Consider the following 20,623-nt stretch of genomic DNA (forward strand, 5'->3'; position numbering starts at 1 on the left):
GGTGCAGCTAGAAGGGGCTCAGGCTCTCTGAGTTCAGCCTGACCACAAGGGTAGGGGACAGTGGGGAAATGGAGGCCTCGAGAGACCCCAGAGCCAGGGGCTTTGCTGTGGGGCAGGTCCTCGAGGCTGGCTTCTAGCCTTCCCAGCTCTCGGAAGCCTTTCCCGGCCCCAATGCCCGGTCATCAGGCTTTATTCCATTTACAAATAACTTGACTTAAAAAAAAATTGCTGAAACAATAAATGCTTGCTATACAAAATGCAAACAAACAGCCCTGAAAGCGTACAATGTGCCCACGTACCCAGAGTGCAAGCGACTCTCCTTCCTCAGGGCCCAGTGAGGCTGGGCTGAGTGCTTGCCCACGTCTCCCGCCTGCAATGGGTGGCCTGGGATCCCACCAGGTGGGTCCGAGCCCAGAGCCCTGGGGAAACAGGTTTAGACACTTTCCTCCGTGCCACAGTGAATGAGGAAAAGGTCCCAGGAGGACACAACCACCAACAATTTGCCTCCAAACTTCCAGATTTTTCTCTTTGCTAATGCAAATATATCTGTCGTTTTTCTTAACATAAACAGAGTCGTGCAACAGGCCCCACGCTGCCTTTTGATTCTTTTTTTCTCTGTGTGTGTTGGGGGGACAGTGTGTTTTGGACAGTTCACACTGCTGTCAGAACTGGCAGATCGACCTTTCTATTTCAGTCAGGCCCAACTCAGAGGGGCCCCGGGCCAAGGACTGGAGCCCTGCCCCCATGAGGAAGGAGGGTCATGGGGCTGGTGCTGGGGCAGAGGCCCTATCTGTGGAGTGATGGCCCCACGTGGGGACAGGGAGGAGGCAGGCAGTGCCCACCAGGGTAGAGAGGGGCTGATAATTGGCTGGATTATCCCGGCGGGGAGGCCTCCTTGGGGAAGCTATTTTTAACTCTGAGAGATGCTGCAGCCACTTCCCTCCCTCTCTTTATTGCCCTTTATTCCTGGGGCCTGCAGGCTTTGCCCGCCTTCCTGGAAGCTCTGTCCCTTTAGAGGCAGGGAGGGATGAAACGCTCCCCTCACATACCATAGAGTGTGGTCCCCACATGGTTCTGGCAGGGTTCTCATGCGCCCCTTTTTAGAGAAGGAGAGAGAGCTTCAGAAAGCTTGAGGGGCATTTTGGAGGACTTGCTGGTCTTTTTACGTCTATTGCCTTCCCGGCAGCCCCTTGAGGCTGTTAGAAATTTCCTAAATTAACAAAGGGGTGGTTTTGGCTTACAATAAAAAGCCCATGGGTGGATCTAAGGGGCTCAAAAGACCAGCCCAGAACCTTGTTTCTCTCAATATCTCAGCTTTGCTTTCTCTGGGTGGGTCTCATTTCATGCAGGCTCACCCTACCTGGGGGCAAAGGTGTCCCCGGGGCCCCTGGCCAGCCCCAAAGCCCTGGGAAATACAGCTCCTGCTTTCCTGCAGACCCAGCAAAAGTCCTAGGGCTGATTCTCATTGGCTGGCTTCAATCATGTGTCCATCTCTGTACCATTGCTGTGATGCTCACAGCCAGACCTGGGTCGCTCACCCACCCCTGGGCCCTGGGGGTGCCCCAGGCCCACAGGAAACATATGGTGGAGGGTATGGTATAGGAGTAGGGAGACCCCAAGAACAAGGCTCTCAGAAGAGCAGCTTGGACATGGGAGGACTTGGACCAGTGTCCAGCATGCCTCTAAGTCTCTCAGCCAGACAGAAACCCTGACACCTAGGTCTGCCCAGGAGATGCCAGATGGAGCATGGCTAAACGTCCTGGCCTCAACCTTGGCCCTGGTGGCTGCCCTCCTGGCCACAGTTAGTGCATCCTCCTCCCAGCTGCTCCTCCCGCAGAGGGCGGGGCCACGGGAGTGCCGGAGCCTGCACACGGGAAATAAGTCAACCGGTCAGCTCCAGGCCCAGCTGATCAATGCCTGCCTCCTGATGGGGCAGGAGGGACTCAGTGTCCTGTTTCCAGGGCCGCCAACCGTTCCTGAAGTTCTGTGTGCCTCAGATCAATGCTGCAGGGTCAGCCAGGGGCCCAAGGGCACCTGGGCAGGGGGAGGGGCGTGTGTGCATGCACGTGCGCGTGTGGGTGTGACTGTGTCCTGGGTCTGGGCCATGTCCCCACAATGCTCCTGGGGGCAGCCACGTCCTCTTGGGCAAGTGCTTCTACCCACCTGGGCGTCATTTCTCCGTCCATCTGCCTGTGGCCTGTGGCGCAGGTTGGCATTTAGCCTGGAGCCTAATGCATGGCAAGTGCGTGGTGGGCATTGGCCCTTGTCACTTTTGCTGTTGTTAGTATCATCAAAGTGTCTAGTGACAAAAGGTGTTTAGGGAAGAGACTGGGCTGAGGGCAGGGCTGCTAGAACTGGTCTCTGCTCTGTGGCTCACTGCCTGAGGGACAGAGCCTCTTTCCACCTTGTCCAGCCAGGGTGTGGATCTGGCTCAGGTGGAAAGCAACCCCACCAGAAGAGCATATCCTGGAACCGACCAGCACAGGTCCTCCTGCTGGCCTTATGGTGGGTGGGGGTGGGAGGCCAGGTGAGACCCAGACCCTGGCCGCCTGCCTGGAGGAGGGGGCAAGGCTTGTGCTGACAGACAGCCTGTGATTGCAGGGGCCAGCGCGGCTCGGTGATGGTGCAGGTGGAGTTGGGAGTGGCTGTGAGAGCCAAGCTGCGCAGAGCAGGGTGAGAGAATCCCTCATGGATGAGACGTTCCTGAGTCGGGTCTGTGAGCACTCGTTTTGCACTCACTGCATGCCCTCAGCATGTGAGGTCCTGGGCTGCAGACACGCCTGAAGGACATGCTTCTGCCCTCATGGAGGTGCCATGCTGGTGGGGGGACCACAGTGAGCCAGACACCTCAGAGAGTGGCCAGCTAGGGAAGAAAGCAAGCTGAGCACAGCAGGTGCGTCCTGGTGGTCGGCAGGCCCCTCACGGATGTGCCGTCACAGCTACCCTTGCACGTGAGGCAGTTCAGAGAGACAGCGTTCCTGACTGAGGGGGAGGCAGGCCCCAAGGTCCAGTGACAGAATCAGGCTACTGGTGCCCAAGGGCCTGAATGGCCAGTGTGTTCAGAAAAGAGTGGCTGAGAGGGGGAGGGTGTCTGGGGCCTCAGGGACTTTGGCTATCACTCCTAGAAAGGTTAAACTGGGCATGCTGAGAGCTCATTTTACATTTTGATGGTGGGAAGACGTGAGGGCCAAAGCCGGGCCAAGGTCTAGGGTGGGCAGGGGAAGTCTCAGTGGGCTCTTGGGAGGAGGCATCTTGGAGGGGAGGAGATGCTGGGACTCTGGGGAGCACTGGTTGCAGCTGCCTGCAGGGCGAGCAAAGCCGCTGGGGAAGGGCCGTCTGGTTTCACATCTCACTCGGTGATGGACTTATGCCTCCCACAAGCGCATCGGCATTGTGGCATCAAGATGTGATTACCACAAGAGCTGGCAGCTGCTGTCGAGAGGCTGCAGCTCTGGGGCTCCTACACACAGGGCAGCGAAACCAGCCTTCGGGACACCTGCCCTGGACAGCTCAGTGGTCATCGTAGCAACCTTCCCTCTCTGGGCCTTGCTTTCCTCAAAACAAAGCCATGATTCCAAATGAGCCGAGGAGCTCTTCTGTCTCCTGGGCCTGTGGCTCCAGGGACACTCAGATATGCAAAGGCGTCTTGAACAGCCAACACGCCCACCCAAAGCTGGGAGAGACTGGGCTGCAAACAAGCCTCAGTCTCACCCCTGTCTTGGAGAAGCTCCCATCCTGGAGGGGAAGAAAGAATCTGGGATCAAGGGAAAGCCAGGTGCAGGGCACAAAATTCAGGGTGTTGGGAAGGTGTGTGCGTGGTGGGACAGCTGACTGCTGTTCATCTCCCTGGCTTCTCCCATGGCTGTGCCAGGAAAGTTACTACTCTCATGGCCTCGGCTGTCACGATCACCCCCATTTTACAGAGAGGGAAGTGGGGCCTTAGCAGGGGACGTGTCCCAGGTCTCCTGCTGGGCAGCGTTGGTACTGGGCTCAGTCCATTTGGCCTCACCCAGCCACTCTCGACACTGCCCCCTCCACACTGTAGGGGCAGGATGTCCTCTGCTCAGGCTTCACGCAGCACCCCGGGAGGGCCGTGAGCCCCTCTGCCCACGTGGGGATCCCTGGGGCAGATGTGTGAGCTGCTTAGGGAGAGATCTGCCCACATCCCTGCCTCTTTGTGTCCCAGCCCCTCCTGGAGGGAGGCTGGTGCCCAGTGGCGTGGCAGAGGGGATTTGCTTTGAGGGGCCCTTAATGGCTGCTCATGGGTTGCAATTACAATTAAGAATTGAACTCTGACCCTGCACGTGGGTTGGGAGGGTGGGACGTGGAGCCCAAGGGAGTGGCCCAGGGAGTCAGGCTTGCGTCTCTGCTGGGTGACCTTGGGCAAGACGCTTGCCCTCTTTGTGAAATGGGTCTGATAATGGCTCTGGGAGTGGGGATAGGGAGGGGCGGAGACCTGGCCTGACTCACAGTAGTCATCTTGGGTGTCGAGCCCCTGGGCAGGGGCCCTGTGTGTGTGTGTGTGGGAAGGGGGGGGTGGTGTTCCAGGCGTGAGGATGCCCTGGGCACAGCCACTTGTCCCAGGAGCTGTCAGAATCTTAGACCCAGAGGAGCCCTGAGGTGTTCCCGTCCATTCCCTTGCCCCTTTCTAGGCCACCAGAGTAAGGCCTCGAGGGAGGGATGTCTCAGGCCCCATTCCTCTTGGGACAGCTGAGTGGTCTCTGAGGGTGGGAGCTGGTTTGAGGCTTCTTCCGCAGCTGGCTTGGGCTTCCCCATCTGGGAAATGGAGCAGGGGCAGGTGGGGAGCTGAGTCATTTCCCTCCTTGGTCACTCGGAGGGAGAAGAAGGAAGTTTCCTGAGAGCTTTTGGTCCCCTGGGAGGCTGTTTCTCCCAGGAGGAGGAGGAAACCAGGACACAGTGTGCCAGGCAGGGCAGGGTGGGGGCTGCAGACTTCTGCGATGCCCCTTCTTTCTCCACTGCAGCCCTAAGTTGAGGACACACCTGATTCTGCGTACTGGCTCCACCATCTGGTAGTTCTGTAATTAAGCAAGTGACCACCCCTCTGTGCCTCAGTTCCTTCATCTGTAAAATGGAGCCAATGAGCTTATCCACCACAGATGGCCGCAGTGGTAATGAAATAATTCTAGCTGGGTCCATAGCACAGAGCTCAGAACATATTGAGTGCTCCGCCTGGCTGTTTTACCAGCCAAGTCAAGTGCTAAGCACTTTAGGTAGACTCATCTCATTTAATCCTTGCTACAGCCCCATGAGTGTAGTGATTTCTACTGACAACAGGGAAACAGAGGCACTGAGTGGTGAAGTGACCTGTCCCACAGCTAGTCAGTTGAGGTGGGATTCAAACCCAGGGCAGACTGATGTCGGTGAGTGCTGGGCTGGATTTCACCCACCAGCTGCCTGGGGCCAGGATCCTAGGGCTGGTGGGGCCTGCAGATCACTCTGCTCTGAGCCGCCAGCAATCTGGGTGCGGGCCAGAGAGCCGTCCTCCTCGGTTAGAATCCTGCAGCCAGTCTCCCTGCTGTGCAGACACATAATTATATTTCACATTAAAGGGGAAGCTGGAGGCCAAGGGGGCCAAGGAGCCCTTTGAGGCTCATGCTCTGGGCACAGACTGGCCTCCTCGGCCCAATTCTGAGGCCCTAGGGCCGAGCTGGGGGTCAGACTGGTGACAAAATGGAGTTCCCCTGGGTCAGTGTCCAGGCGAGCAGGTCTGTCTGCCAGGATGAAAGACTTGGCCCCTGCGGGAGGCTCAGAGATATGAGGCCCAGACAATAGGCCTCAGAAAGCTGGGAGGGCAGGGCATTTGGGGACAGGTTGGGAAGAAAGCCTGAGCCTCCAGAGACAGGGGCTCGAAAGAGAAGGGGGTCACATGGGGATCCGGTCGGCAGAGAGAGGTCCAGGGAGGAGCACAGAGAAGGCAGGAGATGGGAGAAGCCAAGCAGCTCAAGATGGAGAGGAGAAAAATGCTATTAGGGTGGGATGGTGTGTGTAGAGGGTGCGTGCCTGGTGTGCAGGGGAAAAGGGCTCTGTGGGAATGCACAAGCTTAGACCTGTGTGTGCGTATGCACACGTGCAGATGCCATCCTGCATGTGCACATATGAGCGAGTGTGCACATGTGCCCCTGCGAACATCATGCATGTGGGGGCATGTATCCTGCATGTTTATGCCTGTGTGTGTGCTCGCCATGCACCTGTGCGTGCGCGCGTGTCCCCGGCGGACGTGCCTGCATGTGTGTGTATGTGTGTGTGCGCGCATGTCCCCGGGAAGTCGTGCCTGTGTGTGTGTGTGTGTGTGTGTGTGTGTGTGTGTATATATATATGTGTGTGTGCGCGCGCGCGTCCCAGTGCGCAAGTGGCTGGCGGTGTGTGTGTAGGGGGCGGCCCGGGACTAGGAGGGGCTCGGGGCCAGGCCGGAGCCGTGGTAGGCTGGTGCAGCGGCTGCGCGGCGCGGCGCGGCGCGGGGCGGGCGTGCTCTCCGCGGAGAGTTAGAGGAGTTGCCGAGCTGAGCTCCGGTGGAGCGAGGCGCGGAGCTGGGTGCGCGCCGAGCCTCTGCCTCCCGCCGCCTCCTCGCCCTCCATTCCTCGCTCCCCGTCTTCTCCCGGCCACACCGCCACTGCTGCCGCCTCCCTGGGAACAGTAGCCGGGGGAGGGGGACTGGCGCGGTCAGAGCCTGCGAGGAGGTGCGGGGCGCCGGGGCGTAGGGGAGCGCGCCGGGCCCTGCCCGAGATCAGATAACAGCCGGCGGGGGAGGGGGTGGGCCGGCCGTGCTCACAGCCGGACCGAGGGACCGACGCCAGCCGCCCCGGCCCAAGCGAGCGCCCAGCGGCCGGGGGCGCCGTCCAGGCGCGCGCCCCCGACCCGTGGCTGGACCAGGGCGATCCGCTTTGCAGAGAAGACGCGCCCCTCGGCATGGAGCGCCCCCGGGAGCTGCCCTGAGGCGGTGGCGGCAGCGGCGGCGATGCAGCCAGCGCGGCAGCTGCCGGGGCCAGGAACGGCCGCCCGGAGCTTGGAGGACGCCGAGCGCGCCGCGCCCGGGCCACTGACCGAGGTAAGTGCGCGGCCGCGGGCGCATGGTCCCTCCCGGGCCCGGCCCCAGTTCCCCGCAGGCCGCGCCTCGCCACTAGCCCGGCCCGGAGCTAGCACGAGGTTGTGCAGCAACAGGGAAGGTGGAGCGGGAGGGTGTTTTCTTCCTCTCGTTTTATTTTTTTCCCTCCCTTGGTGAGACATCGGAGGAAATGCTGACTGCGAGCTTTTCTTTTCCTGCCATGTCTCCGGCTACCACCACAAGGAACTTTGCTCCTGGCTAACCTTCGTCCTGGGGGGCGCTCCGGGAAACTTTGAGGAGCCCTCGGCCCCCCTCTGACTGGTTTGCACTAGGGGGCTCGGGAGGGAGCGTGCGGAAGCACTCTGGCGCGCGGCACGGGTCCTACGCGTGACCTTCCCGGAGACCCCGCGATCGAGGTGGGGTTCGGAGGTGGGCGCCCGGGCTATATGAGCCGCCCCGAGAATGCCTCCCGTCAGAGACCTGCGGGTTCTTGGAGTCGTGTCTCTTTCTCACCTCCCGTGCTGTAATGGAGTAAAAATATTCTGGAAATGATTCCATGCCAGCAAGTCAGCCAAGTCCAGAGGCTCCCTTTTGCTTTTAGAAGTCGGCCTTGATCTCCGAGGGGATGGCCGCTGGCTGAGAAGCTCCCAGGGTTTCAGGGCCAGGGTCCACCCTGCGCGCGCACGGCCTCTCCGGGTGCCCTGGGGGAGCGGGGCGGGAATCAGGGGCTCATGGGCAGAGACAGCTGGGGTGGGGCGCTCCTTGGGGGGTTCAGATGGGAGTTGAGGCCCAAGCGAGTGTCTGTGCCTCGGTTTTGATCCAGCGTGCCCATGTCATGTGAATATTTTAAAACCTGTGATCAGAATGGGGGTCAAAGTGTTTCTTTGGGGACGGTCTTGTTCTGGGAGGTTTTCCTGCCTCCTCACAGCCTGGACTCGCCCGCACCTGGGACCTCCCCCTCCCCATTTCCCAGGGGGCGTTCCCATCTTAGAGTACCGCGCTGCCTGTGGCCATTTCTAGTTTCTTTTTTGCTCCCCTATACCCAGGTTCGAGCCCTGCAATAAAGCGCTGGGGACCTCCTGGCTCCCACATCTGCGCCCCAAACCCAGGTTCACAGGCTCCGTCTCCGAGAGCGCCGAGGCGCCCACACGCCACTGAAATCGGCAGCCGCCTTTGGAAGGTGCGAACCCGGAAGGCGTTAGCCTTGGGCCTAGCCTTCGCCCCCTCTGAGATGCCAAAGGAGAGCCGGTCCCTGGCCGCGCGGCTGGACCCCAGCCTCCCTCGCGCTGCGCTGCACCTCCGCGGCCCCTCCTCGCGCAGCTCCGCCCTGGACCGCCGCCCTGTGGCGGGCGAGGGTCAGAGAGGGGAGGTCCATCTCAGCCCTGGGCGCCACCAGAGGCTTTCGCTCTTTTTGAGGGGTACTCCCTTCTGTATTCTGAGAAGAGCCCCTCAGTGTCTGCTGGGACCGCCCCCCCCAACAAAAGACTTCACAGCGAAGTCTGCCCCTCAGTTCTCTGGTGGCACCTCCAACCAGACAGGGGACCCGAGGTTGGCAGCTCTAGGAGGGGGACCCTGGGGGCCTGCCATTTGGTGGGGCCAAGCCGCCTGAGAGAGAGCAGGGAGTGAGGGCGGAGGGCACTCACTCGAGCACCCTGGAGACGAGGAGGGTGGCTCCAGTGTGCTGGGCCACAGGGACACCCCTCTTCTCCACTGGAGGGCCGCTGTAGGCATACAGTAGGCAGTCTGTAAATGCTGGCTGTTGACCCAGAGCTGGCAGGTAGGGGCTCCAAGTCCTCTATCACCTCCTTTTTCCCCTCCCAGGGGAGGGCATGGCTGACACCCCTCATCCCCAGCACTGAAGGGGGTGGAGCCTTCTCTGGGAGGGGCAGGACCTGAGCTGTCAGTCCATCTCTGGACACTCCCCCTGCAGCTACCCCGTCAAAACCCCATAAGGTTTCCAGGCTGCCCCGGAGGGGACCCCTCCAGGAATGTGCCTCAACTGTGCTGGAAGGAAGAGGTGCCTGGGAAGTGGTGGAGGGGTATTGCCTAAAACCATGCAGTGGGTTGGGTTTGGACAGATGCCTTCACCTAGCTCTTTCCAGGCCAGGCGCTTACCCCACCAGCCTTCCTGCCCCAGGGCCATGGTGTCCCCATCCCTGGGTCTCCTTGAAGCAGGACAAAGTAACACTGAGTGGCCCTGCAACAGCAAAATAATAATGACAGCAGTGATAACAGGAGTAACAGCAGCAGCAGCACCTGCAGCTCTGCAGCACTGGGGCCGGTTCTGCCTATGGGCAGTTTTCTCTGCCTAGCCAGGCCTCCGGTACCCTGGGCCACAGTTGGCAGTACCAAGCGTGGCACCCGGAGGCCTTGGCATATGGCTGGGGCGGAAGTGAGTGCATCATTACTGTCATCAACCTCTGTGGCCCTCGCCAGGTCCCCAGGCAGAAGGCTACTGGTACACACGGTGCCCACCCAGTGGCCACCCTCACCCCCCCTGCTCCCAGGCCCAGCTCTGGGCTGGGCCCTTCCTCCAACAGGTGCAGCTGGTGCCTGTGGCTGGGCCCTGGCCAGGGCTTTACTGTGAGCGACACATGGGTACACCTGCCCCTCCCCGGGCCTGCCCTTGGAGCCCTGCCACCGGCTAGCGTGGAGGAGAGTCAGGGAGGGGGCAGCTTGCGGGCAGCAGGAGGGGTGGAGGCTTGGCTGGCCACATGGAAGGTGCGGTGGGTGGGGGCTCAGCCCCACGGGATGGCTGTGCCGGGAACTGGCAGCGTGATGGGGACACGGCAGCAGGGAAAGGCTGAAGATGAAAGAGAGCTGGCCTGAAACTGGGCCGTGTGCAGGTTGGCCAGAGCTTCAGAGGCACCATGGGGTTGGGGGTGGGGGGGGGCCTGGCAGAGGCAGGTGGGTTTTCTGAGGTGCTGGGCTCGGGGCAGGACCAGAGCCCCCGCTGGGCACTGGCCAAGGACCCAGCCCTGGGTCAGCTGACTTAATTTCCTAATGGCCTGCCAGTGCAGAGGGTGGCATTAGCTCTATTGTGCAGACAGGGATTGGAGGCCCAGGGAGGCACTGGAGGCACCAGCCTGTGGGGCTCAGACCCAGAGCCCTGGTGCTTTCCCAGGGACAGAACTGCACCTTCCCCCATTCCACAGACACACCCCTCAGGGGCATTTGACTGCCAGGCTAGCTTTCTCCCTGCCTTACCACCAGGCAGGTCCCACACAGGGCCTGAGGCCTGCATGCCATCCCAGCTCCCGGGAGCTGTATTCCTAGGACCTAGTTAAGCCCTGGCACAGAGTAGGTGCCCAGTAAATGCTCGATGATTCCATGTCTGGACTGCTTCTTCCAGCCACAGAGGCCTTGCTGTGCTGGTGAGAGCTGTGGGGGCTGAGTTCTGGGGCTGGAGACCCCAGGCCCTGTTGCCTAGCTGTGGCCCCTGTGCTGGGTAGCCATACAGAAGTGCTTAATCAATGGGCATTGCATACGGGGAGACCCAGCCCCTGCCCTCAGGGATCTCACTATCTCAGAGGAGACTCTTGGACAGACTCAGGGGGGCAAGAGAGGCAGATGTTGCCACCAAGATGGGGTCACTCTTCCTGGCCTCAGTTCATCATCTGTGAAGTGGGACTGGCTCCGGAGAGTGCTCAGGATGGGGCAGTAGGAATGTGAGACTTGGAGCGTGCCTCTGGGAGTTGGGGGTGGGGAGGGGCTGGTCTCAGTAGAAATGGACGTGTGGAGAGGGGGATCTGGGAAGGAGGGGGTGTGAGCATTTGTGGAGCCAGAGCCTGGGGAACTCGTCATTTCCCCATCCAACCTTCCCTTGGACATGTAGGGAAGCAGGCCCAGGGCAGGGCAGCGAGTTGCTGTAGCAGTGGGCCCCAGATGGCAGTGGGCCCCAGATGGCAGTGGGCCCCAGATGGCAGTGGGCCCCAGATGGCAGTGGGCCCCAGTGCAGGCCTCCTGTTTCCTGGTGTGTCCTCAGTGTCCCCTAACCCCAATCACCACCACTGGTGCTCCACAGCTCACTCCTTCCTGCCTGGCTGCTGAAGTGGCAGCATGAGGCTGTGGAGACCTTGGGGACCCCCGCCCAGCCCTCTAATTAGCCTTCAGCCATGCATCATTGGACATGGTTCCATTTGCTTGGCCAGATAGGAGTGGGAACCCCTTTCTCAGCTGCCCCAGGGAGCAGTTCCGCCTTGGCTGTGCATTAATGCTGTCCTAGGGTCAGTGGGCACAGCCTCCTGGATCCTGCCTGACTCCCCCTGCCCACCTGGACTGAGCCCTCCCTCCTGCTTGGGCAGCCAAAGCCTCCCTCTCCTGCCCTCACCTGCAGCCCAGGCCTCTTTGAAGGACTCAGGCTTGGAGAGGGGCCAGGGAACAAACAATAAAGCTTATGGAGTGGAGGCTTCTACCAGAGCCACTCTGGGCCATTGTTCCTTGAGCACTTTCTATGTGCCTGGTGCACTCTGGGTGTCAGGGCCCTCTGTCGATTCCCACCACACTCCTCCCTGGGACCCTCAGGGCCCTGCACAGTCTGGCCTCACTTCCAGGACTCTTGCTCCCTCCCCGGGGCCACGCTCCTGCTTGCCTTGCTGTGCTTCCAACAGATCAGGCCCACTCCTACCTCAGGGCCTTTGCACATGCTGCTATCTCTGCCTGGAATGTTCTTTCCCAGATCTCTGCACGGCCCCTCCCTTACCGCTTTCATGTCTTGCCCAGATGCCACCCTCTCTCCAGGACCTCCCCTGATTCCCCTGTGGGACACTGCAGCCTCCCTTTCCCCCATGTTCCTTTTCCTGCTTTATTTTTCTCTGTAGAACTTAATGCTATCTGCCACAATATATTTTATTTGCTGATCTTGTTTACTGTCTATCTTTCCCTTGGAATAGGATCTCCTCTTTTTGGACCTATTCTACCACAGCTGTGTCCCCAGTGCCTAAGCGGTAGGCAGGAGATGGCAGGCGCCCAGTAAACACAGAGAGTGAATGGGCTGCTTCAGCCAGGCCTGGTGCCTGACATGCAGTGAGTGCTTGGTAGCAATGGTAGCCAGCATTGTCAGCCCATTCTGCAGATGAGAAAACTGAGCCTCAGAGAGGTCACTGTCCAAGAACTGTGGCGCTTGTTGGTGGACAGAGCTGGATTCTGACCTTTTCTCTGAGCCTTTGGCCTGCCATCTGTCTGTCTGGCTGAGTGGGAGGGAGTTGGGGCTTCCTTCAGGCCCCTACTCTGGGTGGAGTGCTTTATATCTGTACCCTCACTGCTTCAAGCTCCAAGCCCTGTTGTGTCCTCTAGCACTTGGCCTGCTTCAGCTCAGGATGTCCCCATCTGATTCCTTCTGAGGATCACAAGCCGTTCCCATTGCAGATCCCAGCAAACTGAGGCCTGGGGCGTGGGGCCTCTCATATCTCAGCTGATGGCTGAATCCTTTCTCCTGCCTTCAGCATACATGTTTGGAGGGCGGCTGAGGGGATGGGGCTGGCAGGGAGGGGACAGTGTCTCTGTTTCTTGCCCAGTTAAGCATTCCAGACTCCCCACGGTCATTGAGTTTCATGTCAATGCATTTCACCTCTCCTTTCCAGTCTTTTTTTTGGAACATGACACCCACGTTATAAAATGTTTAAAAATGTTTATGATTTGCAATGATCAACTCCAGCGGCTTTAGTGGCCAGCAGTGATCACCTCTGCAACTATAGAGACTGGCATGCTTTCTGCTTGCCTGAGCACTGCCCGTCCCTCCTCCCCTGGATGTCCATGTTGCCTCAGAAAAGACAGGGCTGGTGGCCCCTTTTGTGGGGAGCAGATAGGTTCTGGTCCTGGGCCTCAGCCAGGTGTGCCCGGTTGGCCAGGTGTGCAGCCAGGTGTGCCAGGATGGGAGATTGTCTCCTGGGGCTCACCTGGGGAGTGGGGGCAGAAAAGGAAACCAGGTAACATGAGGACTGGCAGCAGGGATACTTCTCAGCCCTCCCTGCCTCCACCCCAAGGGTGTACAGGAGGGTGCGACGTGACACCTCCACTGTGGGAGCGGGCAGCCTGAGGCCAGAGAGGGTCCCCACAGCCGGAGGTCACACAGTTCCCGGAGGAAGGCTGGGGCGCAGCCTTGAGGCCACAGACCCTCTGTCCCTGATGCTTCCAGGCAGCTTTTGGGGACTTGGCAGGGGAGGGGCCGGGGAGAAGGGAGCATGTGGAGACTGAGATGTGTATGATAGAGAGGATGAAAGGCCGGGGGCAGGAGAGGTCAAGGGGGATGGAGTGGCCTGGTGGCCGGAGGTGTGCCCTTGCCCCTGCCCGCCCCGCTTGCTCCAGCTGCAGCCGGGCCCGAGCTGGCGGCTCCAGGCCTGCAATTCTCCAGCACTTAAAGCAAAAATAAATCGCTGCCAGCAGCTGGCGTTCTGTGTGGCAGCAGCCGAGCCAACCCCGCCCCGACCCTCTGCCTCGGGGCTCCTGGTTCCGGGCCAAGCCAGGCTTCCATTCAGGGCTGGGGGGCGCCGAGGCCAGAGAGGGTCCAGGGGAGCTTGGCGTGGCCGGAGGGGGCGGGTCCTGGCATGATCACAGGGAGGGCAGAGGCAGATGGAGACCTGGGGCTTCCAGGGGTGCTGGGATCTGGGGCAGGTTGGGGATGCTCAAAAGTGGGGCTTCTGACAGTCTTGGGTCTTGTGGAAATAGGGCCTGGGAGGGGCAAACTCAGGGGTCACAGCCACCTGTTTGGCCCTGGGGATCCCCAATCACAAGCCACCCCCAGCCTGTCCCCTGGATGTCCCTTTCTTTCCATCCCCTCCTTTCCCTTCTCAGAGAATCCTAGAGGTCCTAGAGGTCAGGTATTTGCGTGGTGAGCTTTGAGGATGCAGGATTTTGGCCTCATTCCTGAGCTCAGCAGGTGGCTGGGGATGTGGCCTGCACAAGACCCCTGCCCTGGGGGGCTGACATCTCAGTGGGTGGGGCAGGATGAAATAGACAAAAAACACATGAGCCATCACGGGCATTGTCATATTTTGTTGAATATAACAGTTTTTAATTATAAGAGTGTTATGTGCTCACAGTAAAGTGATAAACAGTTGTAAGGGGAAAAGTGAATTTCTCCTCCTCACCCCCTGCCTCCCCCACCCCCAGAGTTTCTTGTCCTTGGGGTGACCATCATTAGAGAGGCTTCTGGGTTTCTCAGTGCTTATGCAGACGTGAATAAGTAAATGGAGGCATAGAAACGTGCTAATATCTAAGTTGCCTTTTTTTAAATTCGTATGGGACCATTGCATACATGTCATGGCGTCCCCTGCACTATGCGCACTGCTGTGTGGTGCCCGTGCCCACTGGACCCAGGGGGTCTCATCCTGTCGTCCTGGGCATGGATTGAGGGCTGAGTCTTGGGACTGTAGGATCTTTGTGGCATCTGAATGCACAGAGCCACCGAAGTCCGTGAGTCATGGGTTCTTTTCGTTGTCATTTTAGCTGCGTTGAGACAGAGATCCTGGATTGCAGGATTTGGTTTAAGTACCAGGAGAGGTACCGAGTCCTCGCCTGGGTGCCTCCTTCGTCACATCCCTCTGGGAGTTGGGATAATCCAGATCCCCTGCCTCCATCCCCAGAGCTCAGAGGGTCTGGGGGGCTTCAGAGTCGCAGCCTGGGGCTTTGGGACCTCTGGGTGAACCTGGCTCCCACTCAGGGCAGAGTAGACACGCTGGAGCTCGGAGGGGAGGCGCTCATTGCTGCTCCCACTGGGGTCCTTCTTCCTTTAGCCTCTCTTCTTCCCTTAGCCCTGACCTCCTAGAAACAGGATCACTTGTTCCCTCACTGTCTTCAGGCTGGGGCAGGCCTCTGTGTGGGGAATGTCACTTTGTTTTTTTTTTTGTTGTTGTTTGTTTGTTTTTTTTTTTTTTTGTTTTGAGACGGAGTCTCACTCTGTCGCCCAGGCTGGAGTGCAATGGCGCGATCTCAGCTCACTGCAATCTCCGCCTCCCGGGTTCACGCCATTCTCCTGCCTCAGCCTCCCGAGTAGCTGGGACTATAGGCACCCACCACCGCGCCCGGCTAATTTTTTTTTGTATTTTTAGTAGAGACGGGGTTTCACCGTGTTAGCCAGGATGGTCTCGATCTCCTGACCTCGTGATCCGCCCGCCTCAGCCTCCCAAAGTGCTGGGATTACAGGCGTGAGCCACCGTGCCCGACCCAGGAATGTCACTTTGACCTGTCTCCAAGCTTCCGCATCTCAGTGCCTGTCCCATCCTTGTCATTCCTTGGAACCTGGCCTGAGATGCATCAGGGTGGTCCCACCTTACTCCACCAGGGCCCCTTATTAGAAAGGATCTGCTACACTGATTGGGAGAGTGACTAGTCTGTGGTCACTCTCAGTATCTGTCTCAGTGTCTGTGGGGATCAGATATACCTGGTGCCCTTCTTTTATGAGCCTCACTTTCCATGTTTGTGAAATGGGGAGGCAGTCCATTCTCGTGTCTGGGCATCTGTTCTCTCCTTCCCTCTGGGCTTGGGCACTGCAGGCAAGACAGGGCAGCTTCCTGGCCTCCTTGATCCCTATTCTGCTGTGTGGCCGGAGGCTCGGCCCTGCCATCACCCCGGCCTGCTGGGCTGCAAGCTGTCAGCAGCACCTGCCCAGTCAGAGCGGCCAGGTCCCTCCCCAGGCCCTGGGAGCCTTGAAGACCACTGGAGGCAGTGCCCCAGGAGGTAGCCGTGGAGTGGCCCCGGCCCTCCCTGGGGGTTGTGTAACAGAGGAGACCCCGCTGCCCTCCTCTTTTCCTCTGCAGGGTGGAGGCTGGCCTGGGCCCTGCCAGCACAGCCTCCAGGCCACTCATGGGTCCTGGCCTCCATCCCACGGTAGATGCCCTGACTCTGCAGCACCAGGGCTCATGACCAGGCTCTTGGTGGCCTTAGGACCAGCTGCCGCTGGGTGGGGATGCCCCAGATCAAAGGCAGGTAATAGAGAGGAGACTGGGAGGACAGTGGGTGGGGAGCAGGAACCCTGGGAGCCTCAGTGTCCTCCCCTGTGAAATGGGAACACTAGAGAAAGTGGGTTGGGCAAACCCACACGCCTACCATTGCATCTGGGGTGTGGAAGGAGCACTGGGGCAGGAGTCTGGCAGCACCACCAACCAGGTCCAGTAAAGAAAGCCGAGGCAGGGATCAGAGGGCGGCAAGCCAGTGAGACCCTGTGTTGGTTTCCTGCTGCTGCCACCATAACAGACTGGGTGGCCTAAAACAGTACAAATGCAGCATCCGTTCTGGAGGCCAGACGTCTGAAACCGGTGTCTGCAGGGCTGGTTCCTCGCGGAGCCTCTGAGGGAGAAGCCATTCTGGGGCTTTCCCCCAACTTCTGGGGCTTCTGGCGGTCCTGGCATTCCTTGGCTTGTGGGCATCTCCAGTCTCTGCCTCTTGTCTTCACATGGTCTCCTCTCCCTGTGCTGCCTCTCCCTCTCCTCTCTCTCACTCTTTCTGTTATGAGACAGTCTCACTCTGTCAACCATGGCTCACTGCAACCTGGAACTCACAGGCTCAAGTGATCCTCCTGCCTTAATCTCCCAAGTAGCTGGGACTACAGATGTGCACCACTATGCCTGGCAAATTTTTAATTTTATTGTATTTATTTTTTTTAACTATATGTTTTTTTGATATGGAGTCTCGCTCTGTCACCAGGCTGGAGTGCAGTGGCGTGATCTCGGCTCACTGCAACCTCCACCTGCCAGGTTCAAGAGATTCTCCTGCCTCAGTCTCCTGAGTTGCTAGGACTACAGGCATGCGCCACCACGCCCAGCTAATATTTATATTTTTAGTAGAGATGGGGTTTCACCATGCTGGCCAGGATAGTCTCGATCTCTTGACCTTGTGATCCGTCTACCTTGGCCTCCCAAAGTGCTAGGATTACAGGTGTGAATCACCGCGCCAGGACCTCTACTTCTAAGGATGCTTGTCATTGGATTCAGGGCCCACCCTAATACAGGATGATCTCATATCCAAACTCTATATTTGCAAAGGCTCTTTTCATCTGAATAAAGTCATATTCACAGGTTCTGTGTGGACATCTCTTTGGGGAGGGCACCATTCAGCCACTACTCATGGCCAACCCAGATATGCCACCCTGCATCCTTTTTCTCTTTTAAGAAACGTGCTCTCCCTGTAGTCCCAGCTACTCAGGAGGCTGAGGCAGGAGAATGGCGTGAACCCGGGGGGCGGAGCCTGCAGTGAGCGGAGATCGCGCCACTGCATTCCAGCCTGGGTGACAGAGCGAGACTCCGTCTCAAAAACAAAAACAAAAACAAAAACAAGAAACGTGCTCTCCATTTTGGGAGGCCGAGGTGGGCAGATCACGAGGTCAGGAGATCGAGACCATCCTGGCTAACACGGTGAAACCCCATCTCTACTGAAAATACAAAAAATTAGCCGGGCGTGGTGGCAGGCGCCTGTAGTCCCAGCTACTCGGGAGGCTGAGGCAGGAGAATGGCGTGAACCTGGGAGGCGGAGCTTGCAGTGAGCCGAGATCGCGCCATAGCACTCCAGCCTGGCGACAGAGCGAGACTCTATCTCAAAAAAAAAAAAAAAAAAAAAAAAAGAAACGTTCTCTTTTTTAGAACCATACTTTGGAGACATCGAGCGCTGGGGTGAGGTGTTTTGGCATCAGCTACCAGCAGTGCATCCTCGGGTGGGTTTCCCAGCTGCCCTGTGTCTCAGTTTCCTCACCTGGGAAGTGGAGCTATGAATGGTCCTTCCCCTGTCGGAGGGTGTGGGAGATGACACCTTTTATTATTATGTCTGTCAGCAACTGGTGTGAACATCTAACTGGTATTTCCCACAGGAGGCTGTATTTCTGTTTAGTTAACTGGCCTCACTGAAGCGCTCACTTTTAGGTTTCCCTCCAACCCTCAGCTGTCAGTGATGTAATGCTGCTGTAATTCCTGGACACGGAGGTCCTCCTGCCCCACCTGTCCAAGAGAAAGTTCTGGAAATGGCCTGTTTGCTTGAGGGGCTGTGTCTTTGTGGTTTTGAGGTGTCACTGCTGTGCCCCCCGAGGGTCGTGCTGGTTGGTAGCCCCCTTGACAGAGTCTGTGTGCACTGGGTCCCTTCCTTCCACTCCTCCCCCACTGCTGAGGCCACCAGTTCTGGCCGTGAAGATGGCAGCCCCGCTGTCATCGTTCTGCTTGGCGTCTCCTTTGTTTTAGAGGTGTAGTGGCTTTTCAAGTTAAAACCTCTTGTTGTAGTTCCATTTCTGGCAGCTGCCGGCTCCTGCAGGGAGGGTGTTTTCCTGACCTTATCCTTCCCGGCAGAGAAGCCCTCAGGGAGTGGGTGGGATGCCCTGGCCACATGCCAGCCCTCTGTCATCCTCCTGGGTCTCTATGGCTCACCCAGGGATGGGGAGCAGCGGCCTCGCTTCAGACGCCTGAGCGGGGCGTTGGGAGGACCTGCCATACCCCATCCCGTGCCAGCGTTCTTGCCTGCGCGTGGAGCCCGAGAGTGTGGCTCCTCACTGCCCAGAGGGAGGGGTTGGGCTCATACCTGTGACCCCCTTGCCACACCCTAGTCCCTCTGGAGGTGGGTGTAGGTGGGATTGCTATAATGCCCCTTGGCCAAGGGAGCTTGGGTGTCCTTGGCCCCCTCCTGTGGCTCCCAACTGCCGCCAGGAAATTTGGGATCCCCAGCAATACAAATGGCCCGGTGGTGAATCCAGCAGCCTGTGGTGTCACCGGGTGCCTTTATTTCTCAGGAAGTAGTGTGACGTCGTGCTGAGGCTTGGCACCCCAAAACAATAATGAAAACGACTGCTTACCCAGCGGCGGCTGGTGCCAGGCGCTGTGCTCAGTGCTTTCCCGAACATTATCTCACTGAATTCTCAAAATGTCCCAGCCAGGCAAGGAGTGGGGCTTGAGAGATGGGGCCACTGGGGGAGGCGGTGGCCAAGCCAGATTTGAACCCCAATCGGGAAGCCTCGGTTCTCTAAAGAAGGCCCCGCTGGGCCCCCCCCGAGGGAAGGTAGAGACATCCTGGGCCTGGGATCCAGGAGGCGTTTTGCCACTGAGATGTCTCTGGCTTGGAATGGCAGCGCTGGGCATGAACTTGGGGCCTGGATTGACACGGGCTGCTCTCCCACCCCCATCTGCTGTGTGACTTGAGGTAAGCTGCATCACCTCTCTGAACCTCATTTCCCTACTGTGAGAAATGGAGCCAAATTTACCCCATTTAAACTGCAGTTGTGCGGGGAGCTTGCCTGGCCAGGTGTTAGGCTGTTTCAGAATTCCAGAGGACGGGGTCTGAGTCCTGCTATTCACAGGTGGAGAAATGGAGGCCGGGAGAAGGGGAGGGACTGCCCAGAGTCTTGCCTCCCACCTGTGACCTCAGCCACAGAGCATGGCTGGTCCAGGCACCTCTTTCTTGCCCCTAGACCAAGCTAAGAGGACAAGCCATTGCCTGAGCACTGTCGTGTGCTGGGGGCATGGGCAGGGAGAGACCCTGCTCTCAGGGTGAGGCCTGCCCCTTCACCCGTTCCCTAGAGGTGAAATGGCCTCTCTCCATGTGTACCACATCCCGGAGCCCTGGCCCCCTGGCTGAGCTCAGGCTTCCCACGAATCTGTGGGCCCTGTGTGATACCGCAGTTTGTGGTGGCGGCAGCTTCGCTGCTTGGGGAGTAAGTCAATGACTTACTTACCCACTCACTCATTCACTTAACTTTGGGGATCCCCAGTCCTGAGGGGGAAGCAGCTGTGCCCTCAGAGCCCCATGGCTGAGTGGAGGTCTCTGCAGAGGGTGGGGGTGTGGTGGGGCAGGGACGGTTTCCTGGGGAAGAGGCCCTGGATCCTGGCCCCACGTGGGGGTTGGGGGCTGCTGTGGCACCTGTGTCCCCCAGCACCAGTGTTCAGCTCAGGGGAGCTCTTACAGAGCCTTTCAAAACCATCCCTGGGCCCCAGGCAGGGAGGTCCCCAGCCACCTGCTTCCTAGCCCTCCCTGTGACATGCAGGGAGCAAGACTTAAAGGGCATGAACCCTGAGTCCAGCTGTGGCCTTGCTGCTCAGGGCTGCCCATCAGCCTTGCCCTGCCTCTCACTGCACGTCCTGCTTCTGAGCTGGGGTGCTGGTCCCAGACCCTCCTCCTCCTGCCTCATTCCAGAACCTTCTCTCTCTTTCTCGGGCCCAGCTCCCAGGCCCCCACTCCTGCCCCATTCTTGGCTTTCTCCCTCAAGGGTCCCTGACTCCCCACCAGCAGGGTAACCACCTCTTTCACTGAGAAAATCGAAGAGAATTTCAACTCCTGCCCCTCACAGCTTCCCTCCCCATGATGGACTGTCACCCCTCACCCACAGGGCCCACCCCTCTTGCCCACCCAAGGCTATCGCTGTCTCAAGGCTCCCTCCCTCCGCTGGACCCTGCACTACACCCTGGTTGGGAGTGAATCCTTCCAAAGGTGGCGATGGAGGGCCCACTGGGATGGGCACTGCTCCCCAGGCCCCAGGACGCTCCAAGGCACAAAACAAAGTCCTGCCCCACGGAGCTTCTGTGCCAGTGGACCACTGACCATAGACTCCATGGGAGAGGGACTCGCTTCTGGAGAAGGGGCCCAGACCTGCGT

General features: G+C 58.9%; 1 protein-coding gene across 2 annotated transcripts in view, besides 5 other annotated features; it reads left to right on the forward strand.

Annotated features, from left to right (window-relative positions):
- Nucleotides 324–1,089: an enhancer, noted in NCBI's record as "H3K4me1 hESC enhancer chr17:21273483-21274248 (GRCh37/hg19 assembly coordinates)". NCBI's record gives its function as "activates a minimal SCP1, AML or CMV promoter by ChIP-STARR-seq in naive H9 embryonic stem cells {active_cell/tissue: H9 hESC(naive)}" and the evidence as "EXISTENCE:reporter gene assay evidence [ECO:0000049][PMID:30033119]".
- Nucleotides 1,289–2,025: an enhancer, noted in NCBI's record as "H3K4me1 hESC enhancer chr17:21274448-21275184 (GRCh37/hg19 assembly coordinates)". NCBI's record gives its function as "activates a minimal SCP1, AML or CMV promoter by ChIP-STARR-seq in naive H9 embryonic stem cells {active_cell/tissue: H9 hESC(naive)}" and the evidence as "EXISTENCE:reporter gene assay evidence [ECO:0000049][PMID:30033119]".
- Nucleotides 2,026–2,761: an enhancer, noted in NCBI's record as "H3K4me1 hESC enhancer chr17:21275185-21275920 (GRCh37/hg19 assembly coordinates)". NCBI's record gives its function as "activates a minimal SCP1, AML or CMV promoter by ChIP-STARR-seq in naive and primed H9 embryonic stem cells {active_cell/tissue: H9 hESC(naive and primed)}" and the evidence as "EXISTENCE:reporter gene assay evidence [ECO:0000049][PMID:30033119]".
- Nucleotides 2,762–3,497: an enhancer, noted in NCBI's record as "H3K4me1 hESC enhancer chr17:21275921-21276656 (GRCh37/hg19 assembly coordinates)". NCBI's record gives its function as "activates a minimal SCP1, AML or CMV promoter by ChIP-STARR-seq in naive and primed H9 embryonic stem cells {active_cell/tissue: H9 hESC(naive and primed)}" and the evidence as "EXISTENCE:reporter gene assay evidence [ECO:0000049][PMID:30033119]".
- Nucleotides 3,498–4,233: an enhancer, noted in NCBI's record as "H3K4me1 hESC enhancer chr17:21276657-21277392 (GRCh37/hg19 assembly coordinates)". NCBI's record gives its function as "activates a minimal SCP1, AML or CMV promoter by ChIP-STARR-seq in naive H9 embryonic stem cells {active_cell/tissue: H9 hESC(naive)}" and the evidence as "EXISTENCE:reporter gene assay evidence [ECO:0000049][PMID:30033119]".
- The window catches only part of KCNJ12 (potassium inwardly rectifying channel subfamily J member 12), a 43,514-nt gene continuing 29,400 nt past the window's right edge, over nucleotides 6,510–20,623 (forward strand). Inside the window, exon 1 of one of the 2 annotated variants that reach the window (NM_021012.5) lies at nucleotides 6,510–7,066. The gene's annotated coding sequence lies outside the window, so the exon portion shown is untranslated. The other variant, XM_005256625.6, reaches the window with a different exon arrangement.

Source organism: Homo sapiens, chromosome 17 (assembly GCF_000001405.40).
Source record: "Homo sapiens chromosome 17, GRCh38.p14 Primary Assembly".
In the NCBI taxonomy this organism is placed as follows: Eukaryota; Metazoa; Chordata; class Mammalia; order Primates; family Hominidae; genus Homo; species Homo sapiens.